This window comes from Homo sapiens, chromosome 16 (genome assembly GCF_000001405.40).
Source record: "Homo sapiens chromosome 16, GRCh38.p14 Primary Assembly".
NCBI lineage: Eukaryota > Metazoa > Chordata > Mammalia > Primates > Hominidae > Homo > Homo sapiens.
In genome coordinates, this window is record NC_000016.10 from 62,769,822 (window position 1) to 62,782,529 (window position 12,708).

Here is a 12,708-nt window from a genome sequence, read left to right on the forward strand (position 1 = left end):
AAAAAAAGAAAAGAAAAAAGATAACAGTGTTACAAATGTAAAAGAATTTGGAAAGTTTATGAACCATTCCAAAAGTTATAACAATCACCAAAAAAAAAAAAGTGACCAATATCATCATTTTTTCCCTTTTCCATGCAGAAGAGCCAAACCTATATCAAACCATCTTTATGAAGATTATCTTAAGCCGGTGCAGCAAATTGTATTACATATTCTCCACGTTGATTAATTCATTCACTTACGCATTCACTAGTTTAATATTTCTTGAACATTTACATGCCCAACAACCTACTCTAAGTTCTGAGATACGTTACAGAAGACAACAATAACAAAAATTTTCTCCTCATGGAGTTTATAGTCTAGCATACACCCTTCTATTAGATCACTATTCATTTGATTTAGTAATCATATGGATTTTGCATAGAATAAAGCATTTGTTTTCTTCTGCGATGACTTGGGTATTCAATAAAGATAAAGGTTGTTTGAGACACCTCTGCTTTTTCAGTGTCAAGCACAATGAACACAGATATATAAATGCATAATAGATATGTGTTAATGATGGTTCAGGGGGACCACTGAAGGTTAATAATATGTTATTATCTGGTTTATTTGCAATTATAATATAGTTTCTTTCTCTTTTGCTCAAAATGATTTAGTATTGTAGAACTTTCACACTACAAACTTCTCAAAAGCAATAAACCATCATGGAAGAAATATAGACACAGAAAGAGACGGATTTTCTGGAGCAGATTTATGAATGCATTGGAGATAATCCTATTGCTTTGTAGTTTAAGCAGCAATAAATGGGTGTTAGGATTGATTAAATGCTTGCAGTTTACTTCAATGTTTAATTTGCTTTGAACTGTTTATGGAAAGAATAGGTAAAAGGAACAGAAATATCTCTATCCCAAAGAATTTATTTTTCCACAAGGTATATTGGAGGTGACATATTGTACCTGCAAATGTTTTGAATTAGATGAGTTATGTTTGCAAATTAAAAAGCAGGAAGTGGACTGCAATCATAGGGAATGCAAGTTTCAGAATTAGATTGCCTGGTTTTAATTTGGTCAGACTGTCTTTTGAATACATGGTCTTAGATGATTTACTTAAATTCTCTGCTATTCTATTATATAATCTGTAAAATTATTGAAAAATTCATAAAACAAAGTTAAGTGTATATATATGTCTGTGTGTATAAGTGTGTGTATGTGTGTGTTTGTGTGTGTATATATATATATATATAAATGAGTTAAGACATACACAACTTATTCTTAGCATAGAGTCTGACATATAGCAAGTAATCAATGCATATCAATGGGCATAATTACTATTAAATATAGAATTAACTGAGTTATTACACTGTAGTAGGTTTTGTCCTCTGTCCTTTACTGGATCAACAAATTATATCTTCCACAATTCCATGCAGGCATTACCTTCTTTCTCCCATTATATGTGAGGCCTAGAGACATAAGTCACAGGCACAGACAGTTCGTGTGTTGCAGAATGGACTTGAGCCCATGAAATTTGTTTCCAAAGTCCGTGCACATAGATACTATGAAGCAGCTGCATCAGAACAGGTATTGGAGGAATGCATGAGTGAGTGAAGGCAAGAATGAATGCATGATGGATGAACTCATAAGACAGCAAATATTTGGAGCATTTTCTTAGTGACAAACAGAAGTAATCTCTAAATAAATTAATCACTTGATTTTTTGTTTGTGAACTCATTCCTGTCTCTTTAAAAGCATTTAAATGCACTACTGAGGTAATGCCTTTAAAAATAAAATTTTCTTCTGACCAACGTGCATAATAAAAGGAACATTCTAATGTACACGATAATACATATTTGAAACTTTGAAAACATTTGCAACATTTAATAAATCTGCTACTAGAAAATTCCTAAAGGTGATAAGAAATATACATAAACAAATTCAGAATCACCAATAATTTTCCTCTCAAAAGAAAAATGATTAAATACCTATTTTCTATAATCAAATTTAATTATCAAATTACCTTACTGTGCATTTGGCATATTGGTAAAATAAACATAAAACTAATTATTTTAATAAGTAACTAATTAATTATCCTGTTATGATATAGATGATATTTTTCCTGTTCTTTCTCTGTTTTGTTTTCTTTTTCATGCCCAATCTAGATTATCAATGTATTTAAAAATCAATTGCCAGGGCTTCCCATAATGATCCTTGCTTTGTGTATCCTTGCATCATTACTAATTTAGTTACTGTTCTTTTATAACATATTTTAGTTCATGAGAAGAATAAAATGAGAACATAATCATTTAGTAACTAAATTGTGGTATAAAGTGATCAGTAGAATTTAATAACAAAAATAAAATGAATAATTTCTAGAAATAAGATCTTCAAATCATTATTTTGAATGTCTATTTTTTTTTAAATCTAGACTAGTGTGTTAGACACAATCTGGTTTGAATAAAAATATAGAGGTACTTCATCTTAGGACTTCTGAGGACATGTATGATGCTACCAAATCTTGTTCTTTATTGGGCAATAGATTATGATATATTTGTTCATAAAATTATTCATATATTCCCCTAGTACATCTCTGGGGATTAGGTTTCTATAGATAAACATTGGAAATCCCAGCTATTGCAGTGAATAACCATGTATCGTCTCATACACAGAGCAACAACTTTAGAACCATTATTGTCTGTTCCTAAAATATAAGGATTATGCAAATAGTAGCTAGGTTTTCATTCTAAAATATCTCTAAATGGCTTCTAAACTCTAGTTCATTTTCTTTGGAAACCCACAAAAGACGTATTTAAAGAAACCATCTGCTTTGTTTGCCCTTTTTGAATACTAGCTATTTTAGTCTGTGCCGCTAAAACAAAATATCACAAACAAGGTAATTGACAAAAAACAGAATTGATTTTCTCACAGTTCTGGAGTCTGGGAAGTCCAAGAACAAGGTACCAGAAGGTTTGTCTGTCTGGTGAGGACTGCTGACTGCTTCCAGGACTGGTTCCTTGTTGTTGCATTTTCTGGAGGGGAGGAACACTGTGTCCTCACATGGCAGAAGGTAGAAGGGCAAGTGAGCTGAACATCACATGAAGCCTCTTTTAAAAGGACCTTAAATCCATTCATGAAGAGGCAGCCCTTATGGCTTAATCATCCCTTCAAGGCTCCTTGTCTTAATACTTTCTTATTGACAACACCTGAATTTTACGGGGGCCACAATGAAACCATAGCACCAGTCATGCTTAGAAATGATATACTCTATTAGGGTGATTTTGTCCTCTATAATTATACATGGGAAAGGGGAGTCCCTTTCTTGCACAAAGCGCACATGTGCACAGAGAATTACTTTCTACTGACTATGTCATCTGGTTTAGTATTAAACATGTTAATGTAATAGGGACCTCTGTTTTATGAATCATTGAATCTTACTCAGCTATAGTATTGCATATTAGTCTCAAATAAGTAGAACAGAAATGAGTATTTCTTCTATGGCTATAGAAACAAAGGTAATCTGAAACTAGTATTTGTCATTTCACCTTTATTTTGTAAGCATTACCATCTCTTTATTATTATTTTCATTGTGCCCAGCCACCGGGAACATCAGCTCCTCCTGGAGTGCCTACAAAGGCTGAGCCGTGGAGGGCAGCACACAGCTGTAGTGATGAGACATGGTATCTTAGTCTGTTTTGTGTTGCCCTAAAGGAATACCTAAGGCTGGATAATTTATGAAGAAAAGATTTATTTGGCTCATGGTTCTGCAGATTATCGTTTCACTTGCACTAAATATTCCCAGAAAGGCAAAGAATTGGCATGATTTCTCAGAATGAACTGTAGACAGGTAAAAAGCCCACAAAATTCGATTTTGTTTTATTTTGTGATCTCAATTAAGAACTCCTGAGATCCACTCTTTTAGCAAATTTCAAATATACAATAGAGTATTATTAACTATACTCAGCATGCTGTACATTAGATCTCCAGAACTTGTTCATATTGTACTGAAAGTTTGTACACTTTGACCATTTCCCCATTATTCCCTACCCTTCAGCCTCTGGTAACCATCATTCAACTCTCTTGGTTTCTATGAGTTCAGACTTTCTAGATATCATGAGGTATTTGTCTTTCTTTGTCTGGCTTGTTTCACTTAGCACAGTCTTCCAGGTTCATCCATGTTTTCATAAATGGCAGAATATCCTTCTATTTAAAAGGTGAATAATATTCCATTATACGTATATATCACATTTCTTTTTCATTCATCTATTATTAGACATTTTGGTCGTTTCTATATGTTGCCTATGGTGAATAATGCTTCAATGAATACAGGAGTGCAGAACTCTCTTTAAAATAATAATATAATTTACTTTGGACATATTTCCAGAAGTGGAATTGCTGGAACATAGAGTAGTCTATTTTTAAATTTTTGAGAAACTTCTGTATTGTTTTCTATGAGGACTGTACCAATTTACATTCCTGTCAACAGTAAAAAGGTTATTTTTCTCCACATCCTTATGATAGCTTTAGATTTTTATAATAGCTTTCCTAATATGTATTAAGTCATATCTCACAGTGGTTTTCATTTGCAATTCCCTGATGATTAGAGATATTGAGCTACCCTTTTACACAGATGTTGGCCACTTTTATGTCTTCTTTGAAAAAATGTTATTCAGGTCCTTTGCTTTTTATTATTTACTGTTATTTGTTATTTACTATTTGTTATTTATTTATTTTTTGATATTATTTATTTATTTACTATTGACTTATATGAATTCCATATATATTTTGGATACTAACCCCTTATCCGATATATGGTATGCAAATATCTTCTCCTATTCCATATATTTCTTTTCAGTTTGTTGATTGAGTCCTTTGTCATGCAGAATCTTTTTAATTTGATGAAGTCCTACTTACTTAGCTTGCTTTTGTTGCTTGTGCTTTTGGTGTCATATTAAAAAACTACATATTTGCCAAGACTAATGTGAAGAAATTTTGCTCTATGTTTTCTTCTAGCAGTTTTATGGTTTCAAGTGTTATTTTTGTCTTCAATCCATTTTGAGTTTTTTAAAAATATGTGGTATAATCTGTCTCCAGTTGCATTCTTCTGCATAAGGATATCAAAGTTTTCAAACACTATGTATTGAAGAGGTTATTCTTTCCCCATTTTGTATTTTCAGTGACTTTATTGAATATTCATTGACCATACATGTTTAAGTTTGTTTCTGGTTTCTCTATTGTGTTCCCTCGGTCTACATATTTGTGCCAGTACCATACTGTTTTAGTTACTGTAAGTCGTAATATAATTTGAAATAAGGAAGTGTGATGCCTCCAACTTTGTTCTTTTTCCTGAAAATTACTCTGGGTATTTGGAGCGTTTTATGGTTCCATATGAATTTTAGATTATTTTTTTCAATTTTTGTGAAAAATATAATTTGGATTCTGATAGAAATTGCATTGGCTCTGTAGATAGTTTTGAGTAGTATGAATATTTTTAAAATATTCTTCCAATCTAGAAATATTGCATATCTTCCTATTTACATGTTTCTTTTTCAGCTTTTTTCATAGCGTTTAATGGATTTTAGTGTACAGATCTTTAACACCCTTGGTTCAATTTATTCTAATTATTTTACTATTTTTGATGCTATTGTAAATGGCATTGTTTTCTTAATTTCTTTTTCAGAGAGTTTGTTGTTAGTGCATAAAAATTCAACTGGTTTTGTATGTTGATTTTTATCTTGCAATTTTATTGAATTTGTTCTAACAATTTTTGGTGGGCTTTTTAGGGTTTTCTTTTTCTTTTTTTAATTTTTTTTTTTTTTGAGTTCACCCAGGCTGGAGTGCAATGGTGCAATCCCAGGTCACTGCCACCTCCGCCTCCCAGGTTCAAGCGATTCTCCTGCCTCAGCCTCCTGAGTAGCTGGGATTACAGGCACCCGCCATCACGCCAAGCTAATTTTTGTATTTTGAGTAGAGACAGGGTTTCACCGTGTTGGCCAGGCTGGTCTTAAATTCCTTATTTCAGGTGATCCGCCTGCCTTGGCAATTTATGTTTTTGTTTGTTTGTTTGTTTTTTCAATTTAGACATTTTAACTTATTTTTCTTGTCTGGTTGCTTTGCCCAGGACTTCCAGTACTATGTTGACTAAAACTATGAGGGCACTATAATTCAACATAATGCTGCAAATCCTGGCCACAGCAATTAGGCAAGAGAGAAATAAAGGGCATTCAAATGGAAAGGAAAAAGTCAAAGTAGGCTTGTTCACAAACAAACATAATCTTAGAAAAACCTAAAGACTCTACCAAAATACTGATAAATAAATTCAGTAAAGTTTCTGGACACAAAATCAACATACAAAAATCAATGTCATTAATATACACCAACAGCAAATAATCTGAAAAAGAAACCAATAAATCAGTTTAAACAAATAAGTAAAACAGCTGTATAAGGAAAACTATAAAACACTGATGAAAGAAATTGAAGAGAACATACAAAAAAAATGAAAAGATATTCCATGTTTGTGGATTGGAAGAATTATTGTTACCATGACAATACCACCCAAAGTAATGTACAGGTTCAATATGGTTTTTATCAAAATACCGATGAAAATATTTCTTCACAAAAATAAAAAAGTTCTAAAATTTATATGGAACCACAAGAGATTCCAGATAGTCAAAGCAATCCTGAGGAAAAAAGAAAAAACTTGGAGACATCATACTACCTGACTAATATGCTATAAAGCTATAATAACCAAATCAGCATGCTGCTGGCATAAAACAAATCATAGCCCAATGGAACACAATGAAAAACCCAAACAGAAATCTATGCATTTACAGATGCCACACTTTTGACAAAGGTGCCAAGAACATACAACACGGAAAGGACAGTTTTTTCAATAAATGGTGCTAGGAAAACTGGATATCCATATGCAGAGGACTGAAAGTAGACCTCTGTCTCTCACCATATTCAAAAATCAAAGCAAATTGGATTAAAGACTTAAATATAAGACCTTAAGCTATAAACTTATAAAACTTATAGCTTAAGGAGCTCAAACAACTTAATAGCAAAATGAAAACCAAAACCACAATGAGATATTATCTCACTTTAGTTTAAATGGCTTTTTCAAAAAATCAAAAGTCAGAGAATAATGGTTGCTGGTGAGGATGTGGGGAAAGGGCAACCCTCATACACTGTTGGTGGGAACAAATTAGTACAGCCACTATGGAAAACAGCATGGAGTTTCCTCCTTAAAAACTTAAAAATTGAGCTATTAATACTATATAATCCAGCAATTCCACCACTGGGTACATATCCAATAGAAAGAAAATAAACATATCAAAGATATGAATATATCAAATTATCAAAATACCGATGAAAATATTTCCTCACAGAAATAAAAAACGTTCTAAAATTCATATAAAACCACAAGAGATCCCAAATGGTCAAAGCAATCCTGATGACAAACAACAAAGAAGCAAACAAACTAAAAAACTGGAAACATTACACTACCTGACTTCAGAATATGCTACAAAGCTATAATAACCAAATCAGCACGGTACTGGCATGAAACAGACACATAGCCCAATGGAATAAAATAAAGAACTAAGACATAAATCTATGCATTTACAGCCACTATATTTTGACAAACGTTGTACAGATAAATATATAAATATATCTTCTCTCCCATGTTTGTGAAGCATTTACAGCAACATTGTTAATTGGAGGTCATTATGTTAAGCAAAATAAGCCAAGCACAGAAAGAAAAAATTGTGTATTCTTACTTTTATGTGACGGGGGGGCCCAAAAAGTGGATTTCATGAAGATAGACTGTAGATTGGTGGTTACTAGAGGCAGGGAAGTGTAGGAGAGAGGGAAGGATAAAGAGAGGCTGATTAATGGGTGCAAAAATACAGTTAGAAGAGAGAAAACCTAGTGATTGATAGATTAGTAGGGTGACTATAGCTTATGATTAGTAGGGTGACTATAGCTTACAATCACCTGTTGTACACTTCAAATAGCTGAAAGAGAATAATTTGCATGTTTCTAGCATAAAGATTAAACAAATACTAAGTTTATGGATATTCCAATTATCCTGGTATCAAATTATCACATGTATACTTAAAAATATGAATATCTCATATATTAATTGAAAAAAAGAGTGGGCATCCTTGTCTTGCATGTGATCTTAGAGGAATGCTTTCAGCTTTTCACAATTGGTATGCTAGCTGTGGGCTGTATACGTAGCCTTAATCGAGTCACATTATTTCTATAACTAATTTGTTGAGAGTTTTTGTTTTGAAAGTGTGTTGGATTTTGTCAGATGTTTTACTGCATCTATTGAGATTATTGTATACATTTTTTCCTTTATTCTGCTAATGTGATATATCACATTTATTGATTTGCATATTTTGAAACATCCTTGCATTCCAAAGATAAATCCCACTTGAACATGGTGTTAATCCTTTTCATGTATTGTTGAATTTGGTTTGCTAATATTTTGTTGAGGATTTTTACATTCAAGTTCATCAAGATTATTGGCCTGCAATTTTCTTTTTTTCGAGTATTCTTGCCTGACTTTGGTAGTAGGGTAATGCTGGCCTCATGAAGTGTATTTAGAAGTTTTCCATCTCTTCATTTTTTGGGAGAGTTTTAGAAGGATTGCTATTAATTCTTCTTTAATTTTTTGGTAGAATTTATAAGTGAAGGAGGATATTTGTTTACTAATTTAATCTTCTGACTTGCTATTTGTATAGTCTATTTTTTCCTGATTCAGTCATGGATGTTTGCATATTTCTAAAACTTTATCATATTTTTTCTAATTGCTTAATTTCTTGGCATATATTTTTATAGTAGTCTCTTAGGGAGTTTTATGTTTTTGTAATATGAATTGTATTTCATTTTTCATTTATTTGAGTCTTTTTCCTTTCTGCTATTTAGACTAGTTAAAAGTTTATCAATTATATTTATTTTCAAAAAACAAACTCAGTTTTATTTATCTTTTCTATTTTTTTTCTAATTTCTATTTCATTTATTACTGCTCTGATCTTTATTTCCTTTTACGGTTTTCAAAGCTTTGGATTTTGTTCTTTTTTTCTGGTTCTCTTAAGTTTAAAGTTATGTTGTCTATATAAAATCAGTGTTGGCATTTATCACTATAAACTTTCCTCTTAGAAATGCTTTTGGTACATTTATACCTTTTGGTATATTGTGTTTTTATTTTCATTTGTCTGAAGATATTTATTTCTGTTACCTTCTTGACCCTATTGTCATGTGTGTTGTTTATTGTTCTTATAGTTGTACATTTTCCAATTTTCTTCCTGTTATTGATTTCTAGTTTCATGCCATTGTGGTTGAAAGGGAACTTGATATAATTTCAATCTTCTTAAATTTATTAAGTCTTGTTTTGTGGCCTGACATATGATCTATTCTGGAGAATTTTCTGTAGGCAGTTGCAAAGAATGTGTATTCTGCTGCTTTTAGATGGAATGTTCTGAATATGGCTGTGAGTTCTACTTGGTCTAAAGTGTAATTCAAATCTATGGTTACTTAATTGATTTTCTGCCTAGTTGATCTATTCATTGCTGAGCATGGTGTATTGAAATATCTCACTGTTATTGTATTGCTTTCTGTTTCTTCCTTTATTTTATATTTATATAACTATATATTAATTATATATATATATATATATATAGTTAAGTTCTTTGATGTTGAGTGCATATATTTACAACTGATATATCCTCTTAATGAATGGGCTCATTTATCACTTTATAATGATCTTCTTTGCCTCTTGTTTTTATTATAAATTTTTTTTCTGATATAGAAATAGCTACTCTTGCTCTCTTTTGATTTCCATTTACATGGGATATTTTTTTTTCACCCTGTTGCTTTCAGTCTGTGTGTGTCTTTAAAGCTAAATTGAGAATCCTGTAAGGCAACCTATTGTTGGATTTTATTTTTTAACTATTAACTCATTCTATATCTTTTGACTGGAGAATTTAGTCCATTTACATTTATGGTAATTATTGATAGGTAAGGACTTTTTATTACCATTTTATTAATTGTTTTCTGACTGTTTTATAGTTTTTCTTTGTTTTCTTCTTTTGTGATTTGATGACTTTTTGAAGGTGTACACTTTAATAAACTTTTTCTCTTTTTCTTTTGTATATTTACTATAGGTTTTTCCTTTGTGGTTACCATGAAACTCATATAAAAAACTCAATGATTTTTTTCCCTAAACTACACGTTTCCCTGGAAATCCTGTCCCCGTGTACTGCAGAGAATTGCTGTCCTGGATTCCCCTTCTTTGTGCTGAGTGTGTCCTGGGACTGTGGATCATATCAGAAGTGCTAAGTGCTTCTGCCTGTCCCTCTCTCCCAGGACCCATGGCCTGCCCCACTGGCGGGTAGGGCAGTGGCTGTAGGGAGGAGGGCTGTGGCCCTGGACCTGTCCTCTGACCATTGGCTTCCTCTCCAGGAGGCTGTGAAGCCCGTGCTGTGGCACTCGCCCCACCCCCTGGGGCCCCCTCAGGTCCTGTTCTTACAACAATGTAACTTCAACTGTATACAAAAATAAACTTTTACTTCCCTCCTTGCACATTTTTATTTTGATATCACCATCTACTTATTTTTATATTGTGTATCCATTAACAGATGTGTGTAGCTGTATTTACTTAATACTTTTGCCTTTTAACCTATATCCTAGAGTTAAATGTGATTTGTACATCATCATTATAGTATTCTAAATTTGAGTATATACTTAACTTTAGTTAGTAACATATACTGTTATATGTTTTTATATTACTAATTAATGCTCTTTTGTTTCATCTAGAAAATTATCTTTAGAATTTCCTATAAGGCAGATATATTGGTGATAAATTTCATTAACTTTTTTTAATCTGGAAAAGTCTTTATCTGTCCTTCATTTCTGACGAACATCTCGTATTTTTTTTCAGCACTTTGAATATATCATTCCACCATCCCCTGATACGTAAGGTTTCTGTTAAGAAGTCTGCTGATGGTCTAATACAAATGTTATTGTACTTGAGACACCTCTTCTTTGCTTTAAAAATATGTCTTTGTTTTTTATTTTGTCAGTTTGATTAGAGTGTGTCTTGCTGAAGTCTTCTTTGGGTTGAACTTGTATGAGGATCGTTTAGCCTTATGCATTTGGATATCCATATCTCGCCAAGATTTGGAAGTTTTCAGCCATTATTTATATTTGATAAGCTTTCTTCTCTTTTCTCTCTCTTTTCCATCTAAGATTCTCATAATTCATACATTAATTATCTTGATATAGTCCCATAAATTATGTAAGCATTCTTTAACCCTTTTAATTCTTTTGTTTCCTCCTCTGACTGAATAATTTAAAATGACTCAACTTTGAGTTCACAGGTTCTTGCTTCTGCTGGATCAAGGTTGCTGTTGAAACTCACTGCATTCTTCATTTTATTCATCATATTGTTCAGCTTGTTGAGTTTCCTTAAAGCAATTATTTTGCATTATTTTTCAGCTAATTAATATATCTCCATTTGTTTGGAATTGACTACCGAAAAATTATTGTGTTCTTTTGGTTACATCATATTTTATTATTTTTCCACGTCCCTTAAACTTTTTTTGTTGCTATTTTTATATCTTAAGAAGCATTAAAATCCTCCAGTCTTTACTAACTTGATTTGTGAGAGAAATGCCTTCATCAGTCAGCCCAGCTTGAGATTCTGAGGCTCTCCCAGACCTGTTTGGTGGTTATGGCTCTTCCAGAACTGCTTTTGTTCCCTCCTGAGGTGGGAGAAGTCTAAGAATATGTATATATTTTGTTAATCTGATAAAGCCAGACTGGGTGCTGACAGCCTTTCATTTGTTTTCTTTAAGACAGTGACCTGAAATTCTATAGTTTGTGTGCCTTCTGCTAGTCCCATAGAGTTGAGCTGGCTAACTGCATGTGCTTGTAAGCCATCTGCAAAGGCTCACATTTGTCACTTAGATGGTACCTAGGTAGAGCTGGCCATGGATGGGGAAGGGTACAGAGCTATGGAAGCCTCCTTTGGCCAGTTGGGGCTTTCTACAAGTGAGGTGTCCCAGGTGGCTTGAAAACAGGTGTCCTGGTGGAGAGCATAAAGTGTTCCATAAGATATTCAGTCCTTTGTTGACTGTCCTTCTCAGCCCTGTAAGTCGCCATCTTTCTTCCCTGTTCTCAAACTCTCACAGCCACGTAGCCATGCTGATTCCCTCAGTTATCTACGTGGGGTTGGAAAGAGGTGGGTCTCTTGTGTAGCATCCTGTATAGCTAGAGAAGTCAGACACTCATTCAGTACATTTTCACTTTCTCTTGTGGGAGGAATTGTGGACCCAAAATTGGCTTTTTTGGGACTGAGCTGTGACACTTTGGGAAGGGGTGATGTGGATAAGGCAAAATTGATTTTCTTACTCTTTTCAGTGACTCTATTCTCAGATTTTTTGCTTCATGGTGTGCTGGAAGTTCTCTGTTGGACCTCTGTAGTCCTTCAAAGGTACTCTTACCTGTGGGTGGTTGGCAAAATTGTTGCACTGTGCGAAGATGATGGTAGAAAACTCCTATTGTGCAATTTTGTTGATGTCATTCTTTGTAAGTTAAATTTCTCACCTATTAACCATCTTTGGGGAATCACTGAGGTACATTATTAGGTCTTTTGAATTGGGAAAAGGGTACATTTTAAGATCTACATATCATCCAGGGAAGATTTGAGCAT

General features: G+C 33.0%; 1 long non-coding RNA gene across 2 annotated transcripts in view; it reads left to right on the plus strand.

The window, feature by feature from the left end:
* The window catches only part of LOC102723560 (uncharacterized), a 110,046-nt gene that overhangs the window by 44,165 nt on the left and 53,173 nt on the right, over positions 1–12,708 (plus strand). The window lies entirely within an intron of this gene.